Genomic DNA, 18,234 nt, shown 5'->3' with positions numbered 1-18,234 from the left:
AAAAGATGATCTGCAGAGAGGAGGATGGGACATGCAGAGAGAAGCAGAGAGGAGACCACGTGGCCCCAGACAGGGAGAGACTGAGCTGTTTCTCTGCAGTCTTGGAATCACCCCCTTAATTATTTACATCAGCCCTGGTGGGCTTCTGTCACTCAAAGCAAACCTCCTCTGCATAGCTTCAACTATTTAATCAATAAGGTAGGTGGTAGGTGGGGGGAACATCCCTGCCCTGTTTCACCTACTGGTAGAATGAAAAGACACAATGGTATAACAGTTTATAAACTGCAAAGTGCTCTAAAGGCCTAAGGAATTATAATTGTTATTATTATCATTAATATTATTCATTACAGTCTAACTGGTTGGAAAGAGCACATGTGACTATAATTTAGGACACTTTAAAAAAACAAAAAAAGAAAAAGAATCTTTCAGCATGAGCAACACAGCGAGACCGTGCCTCTACCAAAGAAACAAAAATTAGCCGGGTGTAGTGGCGCACGCTTATAGTCCCAGCTACTCGGGAGGCTGAGATGGGAGGATCGCTTGAGGCCAGGCGCGGAGGTTACAGTGTGCTGAGATCCACTGCACTCCTGCCTGGGCAACACAGCAAGACTCTGTCTAAAAAAAAAAAAAAAAAAAAACACGAAAAAAAAATCTTTTCGAAAATCTGAACTCCACCCTTGCTAGTAAGGAGAAAAACAGGAAAAACAGCTTTGAGATACCATTTATAATCTGCTAAAATAGCCAACCAAAAAAAAATAAAAAGAGCCAGTGTTGGCAAGGTAATACTAGAAGTTATAGATTGAATGGATGTTGGTAGTATTATAAATCAGAGTAACTCTTTTGGAAGCAATTTGGCAATCTTTAGTAGGAGCCATAAAGACGTTTATATTATACTCTTTGACCCAGTAACTTCACTCTTAAAATACAATATAAGCAAAAAATCTCCATGCATGAAGATGTTCACTGCAACATCATTTATATGGAAAATGTAGAAGCAGTGTAAGTGATCAACATTAAAGGAACAATGTAATACATTATATCAATATGTAATACTAGTCAATTGATTATAATTCCAAAGGCTATGAATAAATGCAGAAAGCATGTTAAAGAAAGTCAAGTCCAGGTGAGGTGGCTCATGCCTGCAATCCTAGCATTTTGGGAAGCCAAGGCAGGAGGATCACGTGAGCCCAGGAGCTCAAGACCAGACTGGGTAACATAGTGAGACTCCGCCTCTACAAAAAATTGAAAAAATTAGCCAGATGTTGTGGCATGCACCTGTAGTCCCAACTATTCAGGAGGCTGAGGTGGGAGGATCCCTTAAGCCCAGGAGTTCAAGGCTGCAGTGAGCTATGAATGTACCACTGCACTCTATCCTGGGCAACAGAGCGAGACTCTGTCTCAGAAAATAAAAAAAAAAGGAAGAAAGCCAAAGGCAGGGCCAGGCACGGTGGCTCACGCCTGTAATCCCAGCACTTTGGGAGGCCGAGGTGGGCGGATCACGAGGTCAGGAGATCGAGACCATCCTGGCTAACACGGAGAAACCCATCTCTACTAAAAAAATACAAAAAAATTAGCCAGGCGTAGTGGCAGGCACCTGTAGTCCCAGCCACTTGGGCTGCTGAGGCAGGAGAATGGTGTGAGCCTGGGAGGCGGAGCTTGCAGTGAGCCGAGATCACGTCACTGCACTCCAGCCTGGGTGACAGAGCAAGACTCCATCTCAAAAAAAAAAAAAAAAAAAAAGAAGAAAAAAAGAAAGCCAAAGGCAGACCAGAAGTCCTGGGAGCAAGGCTAGGAACTGGGGTGCCCCTCAGGGAATTCCTTGGACAAATTTTCCTTCTTGGTGCCTCCTCCTCATACTATAAGAATAAGCATTTCCCTCATGTGTGTTCCCCCCACAGAGCCAGCTCCTGTGGCTGTTGACTGGGAGGTTTCAAGGTAAGAAAGGCAAGTTCTGTCAAGGGTTTGGGGTCACCCTTGGGTGCACCATTCTCAGTTTCAGTAAATCCATTTCAAAAGCCCACTTGCGAAAAACTTTATAATTTGGGGAGAGTTTGAAATATTTTCCCATCCCCATTGTCATCCCCTTTGGTGGCTCCAACCCTCTAGTAAAGTCCAAGACTCCCATACAGTCCTGTGAGATGGTGGGAGGGGGGGAATTGGGGGAGGGAGTGATGTATAGGGGGCCCAGAATACCCCAATGCTCTTTCCTCAACAACCCCTGCACCAGGGCGTTCAGGGATGAAGACTGGTCTGGAAGTGACTGAGAGGGTGCAGGGGGAACAAGCTGGCGAGTACATAACTCAGTAGTCACCACATTCCTTCTGTCCCCAAATGTACTGTAGAAAGGTGACCCTGAAGCTGGGAGACTAATGCTTGGGCTAGACACCCACCTATCGCAGACACAGACATATAGACACACACACTTCTTTCTTTTTACCCAGAAGGGATACTATTACACATGTTCTTTTTCAACTTGCTTTTCTCACATAACAGATCCTGGGCATCTTTCCACACCACTCCATGAATATCTACCTTATCTTTTTAAGTGGCCAGAGAGGCATCTGTTGTATGACCGTTCCATGATGAATATAATCGACCTCTATTAATTGACATCTAAGTTCTGTTCACTTTTTTCCATGATTACAATTTATTCTATGACAAACATGCTCGTAATCCAAGTTTGTGCAGCGGTGTGGATATTCTTGTAGGAAAATGGCTAGAAGTGTTTCATATTTTTTATAGTTACTGTAAAATTGTCCCCAAAAACTGTCCTAGTTTTTAACCCACAGAGTCTGAGACTGCTTCATTATGCCTCTAAAACTATACCTTTAAAAAACTGGATTTTTACCCATCTGATAGGTCAAAAATGCCACCTGTTGTTTGGATTTGTGTTCCTTCCATTCTTAGAAATACCGAGGACAGGCGTGGTAGCTCACGTCTGTAATCCTAGCACTTTAAGAAGCCTAGGCGGCAGCTGGGCGTGGTGGCGCGCGCTTGTAATCCCAGCTACTCAGGAGGCTGAGGCAGGACTATCGCTGGAACCTGGGAGGTGGAGCTTGCAGTGAGCCGAGATTGTGCCACTGCACTCCAGCCTGGGCGACAGAGTGAGTCTCTGTCTCAAAAAAAAGAAGCCTAGGTGGGAGGATTGCTTGAGCCCAGGAGTTCAAGACCAACCTGGGCAACACAGTGAGACCCCCATCTTTACAAAAAAGGAAAAAATTAGCTGGATGTGGTGGCATGCTCCTGTAGTCCCAGGTACTGGGAAGGCTAAGGCAGGGGAAGATCGCTTGAGCCCAGGAAGACGAGGCTGCAGTGAGCTATGATCACACCACTACACTTTAGTGTGGGTGACAGAGTGAGACCCTGTCTCTAAAAAAAAAGAAAAAAAAATACCAGGCATCTTTTCTCATGTCTACCGGCTACCCTTGTCTGCACTTGAGTAGGAAGCTCTAAAGCTTTCAGACTCAAAGGGAAGAGATATTTGGGGGCAGAGGATTCTGTCTAGGGATGTCTCATACTGTATCTTGGTGCATAAGCATTGACTGAGGTAGAATAGTTGCCCCTGGCCATCAAGAAAGATCTTTGAAGCCAAAAGTTGAGCCTCATTAACTCCACTAACACCTCCCGAGGGCCTCCTATGAGCCAGTGGGGTGTGGTGTTGAACTTGCCCATGCCTGCTCTTGAGTAGCACTAAGCGGTGCATGCAGACGGAGAGCCTGTGGGGGCACAGAGCTGTTGGAAAGCTTGAACCCAGCTGTTAGGGGGACGAGGGTGGGAGGGCCTGGGAGGAGCAGTGTTGGAAGAGAGGGTGTTGAACTAAGTTTAAAAAGACAAGTTGGGATGTTGGAAGCGGTGAGGAGGCAGAAAAATGCCCAGTGTGTGTGGGGTCGGGCGCCAGCAGGTAGGGAACCTGCACGGGGGTCAGCCTGGCTCGTGTGGAGCAGGCTGGCTGGTGGAGAGGAGGCCAGAGGTCATGTGTGTCATATCTCGTCACTGAGGCTTGAAGAAGCCCTGCTTGGGCCCAGAGTCTCAGAAGAAAACTCTTTCCCAGGACACCCTAATTCCTGAGCAACCCAGTAACTGAGGCATCTCTGGGTTACACCTATGCCAGGGTAAGGTAGAGTCACATGGGGGGCTGTGGAGTGAGCCCCAGCCCAGGTTCCAGTCTCACGTACTAGCTGAGTGACTGTGAACAAGCCAGTTAACCTGTCTTGAGGCTCAGGCTCCTCATCCAGAAAATAGAGACTGTACCTGTTAGAGGTGTGTGGGTTCAAGTAAACTGGGTGCAGAGCTCTTGGAAGTGTGAAGCCTTCTAGATACATGAGCTGACATGCTGAGGTGACAGCTCTGCCTAGGAGCCTAGGGGCTAAGCCCAGGGATGGGGGGTCAGGGTAACTGGTGTCTATGCCCAGGCACCAGCCCCTTAACTGGATTCAAGTCTCATGGAATGAAGGGCTACAGATGGAAACCAAGAGAGCTGTTTTCACCAAGAACTGTTGGATGTAGGGTCTCAGGCAGGGCTTGAGGGACTCAGATGAATAAATATCCCACAGAGAGGGAGAGAGGTGCCTTGCTTTATCCCCATTTGATACCAGCCACTTCCCTCCCTGGGTCCTGGTTTTCTCATCTGCACATTTACTTTCTTTTTTTTTTTTTTTTTTGAGATAGAGTTTCACCTTTTGCCCAGGCTAGGGTGAAGTGATGTGATCTCAGCTTACTGAAACCTCCATCCCCTGGGTTCAAGGGATTTTCTTGCCTCAGCCTCCCGAGTAACTGGGATTATAGGCGCCCACCACCACGCCCAGCTAATTTTTGTATTTTTAGTAGAGATAAGGTTTCGCCATGTTGGCCAGGCTGGTCTCGAACTCCTGACCTCAAGTGAGATCCACTGTACCTGGCCTTCATCTGCACATTTAGATAGTATTAGTTAATCTTCCAAACTTTTCTGCTTTGACATTGAATACATTACTGGGAGAAGGAGACGGGCTCTGCTTGACCCATGGCTATAGCAAACAGTTGGCACCACATGCTACAGAGCTCAGAGGAGGAGCTGGAGTTCACAGTGGGCCTGAGTAGCTGGGAAAGGAATTCCAATCCCTTAGTATTCGAGGGATTTGTTGAAAACAGAGTGGATAAGGCATGGGAGGAGCCCTGTGGATCTGCTCAGAGGTTGCTCTGGGAGGTTACTTCAATTCAACAGGAAACTCAGTAGCGTTTGCCAAACCGGATTTCTGGAAGGAAAGGGTGGGGAGAAGTGGCAAAACTACTCTCTCCAGCAAGCCTGCCTTGCTGGGGACTGTCCCCTTTACAGGTCCCTGGGTCAGAGCCTTGTTTAATTCAGTGATGTTCAACCCAACAGAACATACCCAGCTCCCCTCTGTGTGCCAAACAGATTAGATACGGGGGAACGGCTCTTAGTCTCAAGTAGCTGTCAGTCTTGTTGGGGAGGCAGCAGACACTGCAGACAAGGCAAAGGCAAGGCAGCTGATAAGGACAGTTAATAAAGCTACAAAACCAACTGTCCCTGCACGTGGGAGAGGGAGCAGCTGGCCAACAAGCAAGAAGCTTTGTGGTCTGACAGCTCTGTTAGAATGCAGGCTCTGACCTTATTGGCTGTGAGATTTTCCCCAAGTTTCTTAGCCTCTCCGAACATCTGTCTTCATACCTGTAAGGATAATTATACCCATACAGCAGAGCTGCTATAAATACTAAGTAAAGATAAAATGTATACACTACCAAGCAGATGACCAAAGAATAACACTTAAGGATGCTTACCTAATATTAATTAGGGATCATACCCAAGTTTTATAGTGGTCAAACTTTAGATGTAATTGGGTTATAGTTTTCTTTTTTTTTTTCAGACACGGTCTTGCTCTCTCACCCAGGCTGGAGTGCAGTGGTGCAATCTTGGCTCACTGCAGCCTCCACCTCCCAGGATCAAGCCATCCTCCCACCTCAGCCTCCCAAGTAGCTGAAACTACAGATGCGCACCACCATGACCAGCTAATATTTGTATTTGTGTGTGTGTGTGTGTGTGTGTGTGTGTGTGTGTGTGTGTATGTGTGTGTAGAGAAAGGGTTTTTGCCATATTGCCCAGGTTGGTCTCGAACTCCTGAGCTCAAGTGATCTGCCCACCTCTGCCTTGCAAAGTGCTGGGATTACAGGCATGAGCCACCGAGCCTGGCCAAGTTATATTTTTCATGTGCACTTTGTTGCCCGCTGTGTAGTCAATACATATGATATGAAGTTTGTTTCCATTTTATGGAATGCAGCATAAACTTCATCTTTAAAACGCGTACATGATTATGGAGGTGTCTGGTTAGATCTCTGCTTTCTGACATGTTGAGGGTCATGACTGCTAGTGACTTAGGGCTAGGGCTGTTAGCTCCTCTGATGACACTGTTCCTAAGGGGCAGAATTCTCCATTTAAGGGACCTGCTGCTTATTACACAGCTACAGCAAGCAGACAGTACCCACTGTCTGTATATATGGTATAGAAGTTCACAGGAGGAGTTGGAGTTCACCATGGGCCTAAGCAGCTAGGAGAAGATCTGATATCTAACCCCTTAGTAGCTACTTCAAAAAACAAACAAATCTGTTTTGGGGTAGCGTGGGGAAGAACAGGACAGTATAAGATATGGTTTCTGGGCTGGGCGAGGTGGCTCACACCTGTAATCCCAGCACTTTGGGAGGCCCAGGCGGGCAGTTCACTTGAGGTCAGGAGATCAAGACCAGCCTGGCCAACATGGTGAAACCCTGTCTTTACTAAAAATACAAAAATTAACTGGGCGTGGTAGCGCGTGCCTGTAATCCCAGCTACTCGGGAAGCTGAGGCAGGAGAATCATTTGAACCAGGGAGTCGGAGGTTGCAGTGAGCTGAGATCGCGCCACTGCATGACAGCCTGGTGACAGAGCAAGACTCCGTCTCAAAAAAAAAAAAAAAAAAAGAAAAAAAGAAAGATATGGTTTCTGGGCTGGGCACAATGGCTCACTCCTGTAATCCCAGCACTTTGGGATGCGAGGCGGGTGGATCACTTGAGTCCAGGAGTTCGAGACCAGCCTGGCCAACATGGTGAAACCCCGTCTCTACTAAAAATACAAAAATTAGCTGGGAGTGGTGGCATGGGCCTGTAGTCCCAGCTACTTGGGAGGCTGAGGCATGAGAATCGCTTGAACTCAGGAAGCAGAGGTTGCAGTGAGCCAAGATTGTGTCACAGCACTCCAGCCTGGGTGCCAAAGTGAGACTCTGTCTCAAAAAAAAAAAAAAAAAAAAAAAGAAAAAGAAAAAGAAAAAGATATGGTTTCTGCCCTTGAGAAGCCTCCAATTTAGCTGTATACAGTACACAATCATTGGCTCCAAGATTTCCATCTAACCAATCCACAGAGATGGTGCCTGGGTCCAAGAGCACAGTAACTGTGATGTCTCCTGCAGTGAAGAGAAAAGCTGAAGGTGTTTGCTTAGGGGCCAGGAGGCTCCTGGAGCTCTCTCCTCCCCGTTTCTTGTCAATCATTCTGTTCATTCTAAAAATTGAGTTTATCATCATTCATCTAAACAAGAGGTAGAATCTCAACATCTACCTTGATTCTGACATCTTCTGAGCACTGGACTCACTGTTTGCCAATATGGGAAACGAATCCCACCAAACCCAGGGAGGTAGGAGGGGCGAACTGAGGACCCAGAAGGAAGCATTGTTGAGCATCTACTGCTGTGAGTCCTGGGAGGGGGTTGCTAGAGGATGCATGAAGTGGTCGTTGTGGCGCTGGATGCATGAAAGAATAAGTGCTACCTATTATTATTATGACTACTAAAGACTGTCCTTGCACAGATAAGGAAATGAGGCCCACAGAGGTGAGAAAACTTGCCCAGGTGTCACAGCTAGGAAAGGAGGAGCTGGGATTCAAACTCAGAATTGGAATCAGGCAGACTACCCTCCTCCTCTCTTCCACACTCCTGCCCGTGCCCGTACCTGATTTTTCCTTCTTCCCTGGGCTGGACCCAACCCCCTGAGGAGGACATGATCTGTCCTTCCGCTTATCATGTTGGCCAGGCTGGTCTCAAGCTGCTGACCTCAGGTGATCCACCCACCTCAGCCTCCCAAAGTGTTGGGATTACAGGCGTGAGCTACCGTGCCCGGCCTGGGCAAGTTATTTAAACTCTTGGGCCCTCACTTAAGGAAAAGAAAGTAACAGTTAATGTCTATGGAGTTCTTAGGGGACACAAAACACTTTTATATTCATCTAGTTCTCAGAGCCCGAGATGATTCCTATTTTACAATAGGGCAACTGGTACTCAGAGGTAAAGAAACTAGTCCTAGGCCGGGTGCAGTGGCTCACGCCTGTAATCCCAGCACTTCGGGAGGCCGAGGCGGGCAGATCACGAGGTCAGGAGATTGAGATCGTCCTGGCTAACACGATGAAACCCCGTCTCTACTAAAAATACAAAAATTAGCCGGGCATGGTGGCGCGCACCTGTAGTCCCAGCTACACGGGAGGCTGAGGCAGGAGAATGGCGTGAACCCGGGAGGCGGAGCTTGCAGTGAGTCGAGATCGCGCCACTGCACTCCAGCCTGGGCGACAGAGCGAAACTCCGTCTCAAAAAAAAAAAAAAAAAAAAAAAAATTAGCCGGGCGTGGTTGCAGGCGCCTGTAGTCCCAGCTTCTCAGGAGGCTGAGGCAGGAGAATGGCCTGAACCCGGGAGGTGAAGCTTGCAGTGAGCGGAGATCGCGCCACTGCACTCCAGACTGGGCGACAGAGCGAGCCTCCGTCTCTCAAAAAAAAGAAAAAAAAGAAAAAAAAGAAACTAGTCCTAGATCGCAGAGCCTGGAAGTGGCAGAGCCAGGATTTGAACCTAGGCCTAAGGGACTCCTGAGCCTGGCTGCTTAGCCAGGGAGCCATACTGCTGCTTTCTCTGTGGCTGCTAAATCATTAGTGAAGACCCACTCGGCGCACTGGCCCCTCAGGGCTACCTTCCTTCTACAAAAGTGCATCACTCCCTTCCAGCTCCAAGAGGTATTGGTTCCGGAGCTCGGGAGGTGGGGGTGTGCAGGAGGCAGGGTGGTGGGTGGCTTCCAGCAGGGCTGACATCCTGTCCATCCCGCCCCCAGCTCCTCAGGGAGGGGCATCATCTACAGGGTGAGGAGAGCAGACACAGGATGGAAGAGCTTGAATAAAAGGCAAAGGAAAGATGTGGAGCTCGGCCCACCAGCAAGAGGCGCCTGCCTCTTCTCCCTCCTCCCTCTCTCCTGGGATCGCTCTCTCCCTCTCCTTAAGATGACAGAAACCTCTCTCTCTCTCCGCGGCTGCTGGCCCCAGGAGAAGGGCTGGGAGCACGAGGCTTGGAAACCGATAGCGCCCTTCCCTGCCGCCTGCCAGCCGCCCTCCCTAGCTGCGGCAGAAGCTATAAAAAGCATAGCCTTCAACAATAGGTGACATCACCCAGCAGCGGAAAGAACTGGATTCTGCCAGATGCCAGGGAGAGTTATGGCCCCCAGCCCTCCCTCGGGCCCAAAGCCCCTGGGGAAGGGCCTGGGTATGTTCTGCTGGATCCCTGGCGGGATGGAGGATAGACTCCAGAGGACCTCCTCCTGCTCAGGGAGGGGAAACGGATCCTGGGGGACGGGGATTGATTTCACTGGAGGTTGCAGGGCTGGGGGATATGGGGAAGGAGCTGGGGAAATCAGGGCTCGTGAAATCCCACCAGTGTCCTCTGAATGTTTTGAGACAAGTAGAGGGAAGTGGAGGGCTGGGGGTGAAACAGGCAGGCACTACCAGGGGAACTGGTCCAGACCTGCTGTGAAGAGCTTCCCTCTGGGCCCCTGTGGCCTGGCGCCGTCCCCAGCCCTGTATGTAGCACAGTGCCTGGCACACACAGCAGCTTTGCCGACTGACCTCCCAAGCCTGGGTCTGGATGTCGTGTCTGGTGAGCAGCAAGTTGACCATTCCAGCTGGAATGGGTGGAGGGAGGGCCTCGGTGGCCGATGCCTCAGGTGCTTTGAAGGAGGCAGGGAGGCCGTGGGAAGGGCCCTGGCAGCAGTGCTGACCTCCTGTCCACCCCCTGGAAGCTGCAAACTCCATTTCCTTTACGCCCCACCCCCTCCCAGGCTGCAGCGGGGGATGCCTCTCCTGTGCTTTCCCCCAGCACCCAGGTTGGACCCTGAGGAGAGCAGACGCTGTGATGTAAATGTTGAGCGTGATGAATCTGAACTGTCAGCCCAGCCCACCATGGCCCTGAGCCTCAGTTTCCTCCCTTGTAGAACCAGGGCCACTGGTGAGGGGCTGAGAGTGCAGACTGGGAGTCAGGGGACCTTCCTAGGACAAAGGCTCCCTGTGTGACCTTGGGCAAGGCACCTCCCTTAGGGTCCCAGAGCACGTCCTCCAGGAGAGGTTGGGATCCAGCCTCAGGAACCTGTTGGTTCCACTGCCAAGATCCCTAGCTCCAAGGCGGGGAGGGGTGGACACCCGGGTAAGATGCGGTTCAGGGCTGTACTTCTGGGGCAGCTGGCCTGGCAGCTGGAGCGAGAGCTTAGTTCCTCTCTGATCCAGACTTAATCTCCTTGTCTCTGGATCAGCAGCCCAGGCCAGCCCCTCCCTTCCTGTGCCCCAAGCCCGTGTCCCTTCCCTTCACTCCTCCAGCCACACCCCTCCGCTCTTCCCTTCTCTCCACTGATCTACCTGTATCCAGCTAGTTCAGGCCCCATGTCCTCCATAAATCTGTCTGTGACCCCCTCCATCCACACAGGTCCCCTTGGTTCCCTGGAGCGTGTAGTGTCTCCCATGCACCACACTCGGTGGGGTCCACTGATGCTCAGATGGCTTGAGAAGCACAAGTCTCGCTGCAAAGTTGGGCTGCTCACCCTGAACCCTAAGCCTTCTCTCCTTGGGTCCAACTGCCCTTCGCAGCTGCCCTTCCTGCCCGCTCCTCTCACTGACCACCACCCCAGGGCTCCAGTCACACCAGATGACTCTCCCTTTTCTAAGCGCACTGTATATGCATTCTCTCCAGGCCAAGCACACCGGATATACTGGGTCTCTTCCTGGGACTCCTTCTCTAACCCTTTTTCTGTCTGTCAATGTCCTGCTTCTCCAAAGTCCAGCTAACTACCTCTTCTCCTCTCTGCACCTTGGTCAAAACTAATCTCTCTCTCTCTTCTCTGTGTGCATAGCCCTTTGCTTGACCTTGGTGGATGCAATGACCTCATTCTGCACCACGTTTTGGTGGGTGGGGTGGGCCCTGCCCCTCTGCGCCTCTACTAGGGGTGTTTCCAGAGCAAGAGTGAGATGAGCAGGCATAGATGAAGGGACAGGCATACTACTGGGCATAGGCTAACCTTCATCCTCATCACAACAGCCAAAGGGAGGTATCTTACTGTTTCAGAGACGAGCAAAACCGAGGCTCAGAGAGGCCAAGTAACACTCCATTGGCCACCCAGATGGTAAATGGTGAAGCTGAGATTCCAGCCCAGGTCTACCAGATCCCTCTTTGGACCCCAGCAGCCAGGGTGGTGCAAGGCATACCGTGGTCTGTCAGTCAGTGTGTGCAAAACTGAACAGAGTCTCTTGGCTCATGTGGCCGGGGATGCAGCCTTATGTTTTTCTTGGACACAAACCATGGATGTCTTGTTTACAAGCTGGGGTCCTGGAGCATGAGGCACATATCAGGTTAAATAAGACGCCGAGCTAGGACTGGTCAGATCCTTCTCACCATGAGCCAGGCAGGAGAAATTGAGACCTGAGGAGGAACCTGGGTGGCCAGTGATTCCAGGAGCCCTGGTCTAATTTGTCCCCCCTACATCAAGACAGGCACTGCTCATCTGTTATCCTAGCTGGGTCCCTGGGTAAGACATGAGCCACTGGGAGACAGCATTGGCTGTCTGTGATGAGGAAGCTTGGCAGAGCATGGGCTTTGCAGCGAGCAGGCCAGGTAAAATCCCTGCTCCTCTACTTCCTGGCTTGTGACCTACCTACCAACCCTCAGTTTGGGGGTGGCAGTGCCTGTCTCATGGAGTGGCTCTAAGAGCTAAATGTATGTGAAAGGCCCATCCCAGAGTGGGTAGAGGAGCAGCCCTGAGTTCCAGGGGCTACTACCTGCTGGCTGGTGACACCAGCTGGGGTCAGCCCTTCCCGCCACTCTCCCAGCACCTCAGCAGGCAGGGACGGAGCCAGCTGTGGTCACCGCATTCCTTCTTGGGCTCCCTGAACCCAGGAGAGAAGGATGGGCAGCACCTCCACCTGCCCTCTCTCCCACTGACCCCAGGCCTCTTGTGCTGGCCACTGGGCTCTCCAGCCTCCACCAGCTCCTGTGCCTCTTTCCCAGCCCAGGAAGCAACCGGTGAACTCTCTGTGTCCCCCAGCTCCAGCACCTGTGCCCTTCCTTCTGCAGCCCTGGCCTGCCTATGTCCTGACCCCTGACCACTGTCCCTAATTTGGTTCTGGGCTGCTGAAGCCTGATGGACCATCTTCACTATAGGCTCTTGCTCTCTCTGCTCCCAAGGGCACTGCCTTCACTGCTGCCACTCTCAGGAGCCCTCTGTGATGGACTATGGGCTGGTCAAGTGCACTCCACCCTTCCAGTCACCTCCTCACCACTCTCCCATGTACTAGGTACTGTGCCAGCTGACCTCACCCCCAGCGTGTGAACTGATGGAGGCTATTTACTGTGAATCTTTCTTTCTTTGGATAACTGATTAGATGGACTATATTAATTTACTTGTTCATGTGTTTATCTTTCATTCATCCATCTACCCACCTGTCATACAGTCATCTATTTACTTATCCATTCTTTCATTCATTCATCTATCCATCATCAATTTTACTCATTCGTCTCTCTATCCATCAATGTAGTCATACACCCAACAATCCATCCATCCATCCATCCATCCATCCAACAATCCATCCATCCATCCATCCAACAATCCATCCATCCATCTATCCATCCAACAATCCATCCATCCAACAATCCATCCATCCATCCATCCACAATCCATCCATCCATCCATGCATCCATCGATCCCATCCAACACCTACTAAGCATTTATTAGGTACCAGGCCCTGTGCTGGATGCATGGGGTGCAGAACCAAATAGGCTGTGGTCTCTGCTCCCAGGAGCTCACAGTCCAGTCTGGGAAGACAGGGAGACATGAGCTCTGAAGTTCCTTCCCATTCCAACATTCCTGAAAATCTGACCGGTACCCAGGCTCTGCCAGTGAGCACCAGGTAGATGCTTGTGGCCTGACTAAAAGGCTGGGATTTTCCTTTGCCTGGGAACACCAGGGGCTTAGGCTGATCCTCCTTCATCTGGGAACACCAGGCCCTCCTCACCAGCTCAGCTGAGGCTCTGAAATCTCCTCTTTCTTCCAAGCTGGTGTACTGATGCTGCTCAGGGACAGTGTGGAACACATTATGGGACCCTCCCTCTGGAAGGCCACTGCCAGCGCCCTCTGACCCTACCTCCACTGGTGAAAGTTGGTAGAGTCTGAGGAAGGAGTGGCCAGAACACAGTTTCAAATTTCACTTTCCCTGGATTCTTTTTTTTTTTTTTTTTGAGGCAGAGTCTTGCTCTGTCACCCAGCCTGGAGTGCATGGACTGCAGTGGCACGATCTCAGCTCACTGCAACCTCCGCCTTCCAGGTTCAAGTGATTCTCCTGCCTCAGCCTTCCGAATAGCTGGGATTACAGGGGTGCGCCACCACGCCTGGCTAATTTTTATCTTTTTAGTAGAGATGGGGTTTCACCATGTTGGCCAAGCTGGTCTCGAACTCCTGACCTCAAATGATCCACCTGCCTCAGCCTCCCGAAGTGCTGGGATTACAGGCATGTGCCACCATGCTCGAACTCTTTTTTTTTTTTTTTGAGACAGTGGCTCATTCTGTCACCCAAGCTGGAGTGCAGTGGCACAATCACAGCTCACTGCAGCCTTGACCTTCCAGGCTCAAGTGATCCTCCCACCTCACCCTCCCTAGTAGCTGGGACTACAGGTGTGCACCACCACACCCACCTAGTTTTTTTTTTTTTTAATTCAATTTTTTGTAGAGACGGGGGTCTCACTGTGTTGCCCAGGCTGTCTCAAACTCCTGGCCTCAAGTGATCCTCCTGCCTTGGCCTCCCAAAGCACTGGGATTACAGGCGTGAACCCACTGTGCCCAAGCCACTTACCCTGGATTCTTTATCCCCCTCTCTAAATTGTCTCTTTCCCCCTTTCCCTCCTATCTCTATTTCTCCTATCTGTTCTCTCCCTGTTCTCTCTGTCTCCTCCCTGATCTCTCTTACTTATCTCCCTTCTCCTGTTTCTTCTCTCTTCTCATTGAATGGTGGGACACATGGAGTTCAAATTTTGGGTCACCTGTGTGGGTCCTTGGAAAAATCAGGACACTTCTCTCAGCTAAGTCTCCTTTCCTAGAAACCACGACTCAGAGAGGACAAACCAGATGGTACATTTACCCTGCCCAGCCTGCAAAGAACAGGCGCTCTTTTCCTCATGCCCATCCAGTTCCTTCCTTTTCTCCCTCCCTCCTTGTTCATATTCTTTCCCTTGCCCTTCTTTAGACAGCATAGACAAATGCTGAATCACACGCTTAATTTTTAAATTCTAATTCTCACCTACAAAAGCAACACCTCCAAGCTCAATCACACTGAAAACACAGATCTCTGGAATCCAGCAGGGATTTGCTGCCTTGGTTCTTTCCTAGCTCCCATCCCCCCCACATCGTGGGGCTTGCTGGAAAGATGACAAAGAGGAGGGAAGAAGGGCAAAGGGTGGAGGAGGGGAGGGTAGGAAGAGAGGCCTCCAAAGGAAGCAGGGAGGGGCCTGAGCCCACCCTCCTCCGGGAGCACCCCTCTGCTCACCGACGTGTCCTCCGAGCACGAGGCAATGATGTTGTCGATGAAGGGGTTCCATTTGATATCCAGCACATTGCCCTGGTGGCCGCAGACCTTGGGGTAGTTGGGTTCAATCCTGCCTGTCTGCAGAGGAGAAAGAGAGAGAGAGAGAAGGAGATTAGTTTGATGGCCCTGGGGTGGCCTTGAATGGAGCACCTTTTTTCTGGGCCTCTCAACTGGACTGGAAGGTCCTTGAGGAATCACCTGTGTTTTATTTTTGTTTTTGGGCCCTGCTGGGCCAAGTCAGTCTGGGCCACACTGCTCTGCAGCTGTGTCCTCCCCAAGACTGAATGGTTCAGGGAGGCCACACAGCCATGGTGGGACAGGCTGCTGCTCGTTCATATACACCTCTGCAAATAAGGAAAAGGTGCCCCTGCATCAAGTAAAAGTGTTTAAAGTTAAGCTGTTACTACCCACTGGAGTGACCAGCCTGATGGGCAGCAGCCCTGGTGGCACACACACAGGCCCACGATCTGCCTTGTTCACGCACGCTCAGATGCTGGGTGTACCTACTCTCCCTGGGGCCCACACTCCCTGCTTCCCCCAGGGCACAGTCAGCTTTGGATCAGGAGGAGGCTCTTTCCTGCTGCTCTGGGAGTCAGCAGAGAGGTCTGAATCTCTGGGTCCACCTATATACTCTTACACGAGCCATTCTCTCTACGATATGAATGAGCGTCCTTCTGCAGTGTACATCTTGAACACCGGTACACAGTGCCCTGTGGTTGAAAGCATAGTCTTCGGAGTCCCACAGGCCTGTGTTTGAATTACAGCTCTGCTGATTTTTAGCAGTGAAAGTTGTGGCCTTAGGAAAGTTAATGAACTTCTCTGAGCCTCGGTTTCCCCTCTCTAAAATGAGAATAGCAATGTCTACTTTTTAGCATTGTTGTGAAGATTATGTGAGCTAATATGCTTAGCAAAGCACTTAGTGAAGAGAATATCAGTAAATGCTCAATATATGACAGCACTTATTATTGTACAGCTTAGATGACACCTCCTGCAGAAAGTCTTCCCTGATCCCTTAGTGGGTGAAGATCTCTTCCTCTGTGCTCTCACAGCATTCTGTGCTTCCCTCCATTATAACACAACCAAGCCGGGTGCGGTGGCTCACACCTGTAATCCCAGCACTTTGGGAGGCCAAGGCGGGCAGATCACCTGACGTCAGGAGTTTGAGACCAGCCTGGCCAACGTGGAGAAACCCCATCTCTACTAAAAATACAAAAATTAAGCAGGCATGGTGACACACGCCTGTAATCCCAGCTACTCGGGAGGCTGAGACAGGAGAATCGCTTGAACCCAGGAGGCGGAGGTTGCGGTGAGCCAAGATTGTGCCGCTGCACTCCAGACTGGGTGACAGAGCAAGACTCTGTCTCAAAACAAACAAACAAACAAACAAACAAATCACAACCAGATCTGATTTGCAGTTTGTTTCTGTTTGTCTGTGAGCAACTGAGGACAGAGTCTGTGTCATCCTTGTCTCTGAATCTCCAGCCCCTTACAGGTCTGGTACCCAGTAGGTGCTCAGTCCATGACTTCCTGGGAGGGGGTGAGTCCACAAACGGATGGAACAAGGGGCGTGGATGGGTGTGGAAGAGCTGTTCCATGTTTAGCGGCTACAAAGGTGGCAGAGAAGGGAGGGGGAATAGGCAGAAGCTATGCTTCCATCTCTCAGGTCTTTTTCCTGCTACTTTTTTGGGGAGTTTGGAGGAAAGGAGGCAAGGAAGTTTCTCCAGTTACGGCCCATCTGCTAACAGTGGGTAGGTGGTCAGAAAAGAGGGAAGTCTAGGAGGTTATACCGCTGTCTCCTTCAGATTCCTCATCAGAATAATAAGGAGGAGGAGAACCAATTTCTGCCAAGCCCTTGCTACTGCACATGCCTGGCACTTCCCAGTGAGATGAAGAAGAGTTATTTCAGAGTATGTGTCCTGCTGTGACCTCTTCCCCACCACTTCCTGCCTGCATCTCTGTCGGCTCATTTCCAGATCGTTTGATCTTTTGCAACAGAGCCATGGCAGGATGGGTAGAGGAAAAAACAGGACTGGAGAAAATGGTAGTGGTATGGAAGATGCAGAATGAGGCAGAGAAAGAGAGGGGGAAAAAAGCCTCAGAGGCTGGACCCAGGAGAATTTCACTGATGTTGTATGTTGTGGGAAAATTAGAGGATAGAGAAAAAGGATTTGGAGAGCGTTGATATCAGTTACAAATGGGCTTCCTTTCAATATTCTATGAAAGATGCAGTTAGGTTTGGAATATATTTTAAATTACTTTTGGGCTGTTAGAATATAATTTTTTAGGCCAGGCACGGTGGATCATGCCTGTAATCCCAGTACTTTGAGAGGCTGAGACGGGTGGATCACCTGAGGTCAGGAGTCTGAGACCAGTCTAGACAACATGGAGAAAACCCGTCTCTACTAAAAATACAAAAATTAGCCAGGCATGGTGGTGGGCACCTGTAATCCCAGCTACTTGGGAGGCTGAGCCATGAGAATCACTTGAACCTAGGAGGCGAGGGTTGCAGGGAGCTGATATCACACCACTGCACTCCAGTCTGGGCGACAGAGTGAGACTCTGTCTTCAAAAAAACAAAAAAAAAAGGAAAGTTTTTAAATTTTAATGTTAATTTTTTTTATTTATTTGCTTTTGAGACAGAGTCTCACTCTGTCGCCCAGGCTGGAGTGTAGTGGTGTGATCTTGGCTCACTGCAACCTCCGCCTCCCGGGTTCAAGCGATTCTCCTGTCTCAGCCTCCTGAGTAGCTGGGACTACACGTGTCAGCCATCATGCCCAGCTAATTTTTATATTTTTAGTAGAGATGGGGTTTCCCTGTGTTGGCTGGGCTGGTTTTGAACTCCTGACCTCAGGTGATCCGCCTGCTTTGGCCTTCCAAAGCCGTGTGCCATTGCGCCCAGCTGAATATGATTTTTAAAAAATGAGACTCTAAGCAGAGGCGGGTCACATGTGACTCAGATTTATTAGGGTTACGCACGTTATCTTTAACTCTGGAAACAACCCTGTTAATTAGGTATGAGGAAATTAAGGCCCAGAGAGGTTAAGCTACTTGCCCAAGGTCAAGCAGCTGAAAGCAAAGCCGGGATTTCCACACAGGTGTGATTCTCAAAAGCGAGTGTTCTTGAACCCTACTGGTCATTGTTAGCCAGCTCCCCTCCTGCAGCTCAGACTTTTCATGGGCAGACAGGCCCTGCATCATCTGCTTCCACAGCTCACTTACTCTCTGACAGAGTCATTCCTTCCATCTGATCGCAAAAGCTGCATTGGAGTGTTCCCTGAGCAGAGCTGTGTGCATTAAGTGTTTGGCACCCAGCCCAGCCCAGGCAAATCTGAAAGGCACCGAACCAGTCAATAG

General features: G+C 50.2%; 1 protein-coding gene across 5 annotated transcripts in view, besides 2 other annotated features; it reads right to left on the bottom strand.

Moving 5' to 3' along the window:
• The window catches only part of CORO2B (coronin 2B), a 209,434-nt gene that overhangs the window by 17,709 nt on the left and 173,491 nt on the right, over nt 1-18,234 (bottom strand). For all 5 annotated transcript variants that reach the window (NM_001324014.1, NM_006091.5, NM_001190456.2 and 2 more), the window contains one exon: nt 14,842-14,958. In NM_001324014.1, the coding sequence (NP_001310943.1) occupies nt 14,842-14,958 (117 nt within the window). The remainder of the gene's footprint in view (nt 1-14,841; nt 14,959-18,234) is intronic.
• Nucleotides 9,282-9,469: an enhancer, noted in NCBI's record as "heart enhancer 11". NCBI's record gives its function as "activates a minimal c-fos promoter by transgenic reporter assays in zebrafish embryonic heart {active_cell/tissue: heart(embryonic)}" and the evidence as "EXISTENCE:transgenic organism evidence [ECO:0001131][PMID:20075146]".
• Nucleotides 14,601-15,190: an enhancer, noted in NCBI's record as "H3K4me1 hESC enhancer chr15:68987247-68987836 (GRCh37/hg19 assembly coordinates)". NCBI's record gives its function as "activates a minimal SCP1, AML or CMV promoter by ChIP-STARR-seq in primed H9 embryonic stem cells {active_cell/tissue: H9 hESC(primed)}" and the evidence as "EXISTENCE:reporter gene assay evidence [ECO:0000049][PMID:30033119]".

This window comes from Homo sapiens, chromosome 15 (genome assembly GCF_000001405.40).
Source record: "Homo sapiens chromosome 15, GRCh38.p14 Primary Assembly".
In the NCBI taxonomy this organism is placed as follows: Eukaryota; Metazoa; Chordata; class Mammalia; order Primates; family Hominidae; genus Homo; species Homo sapiens.
This window is presented reverse-complemented; position numbering and strand designations above follow the sequence as displayed.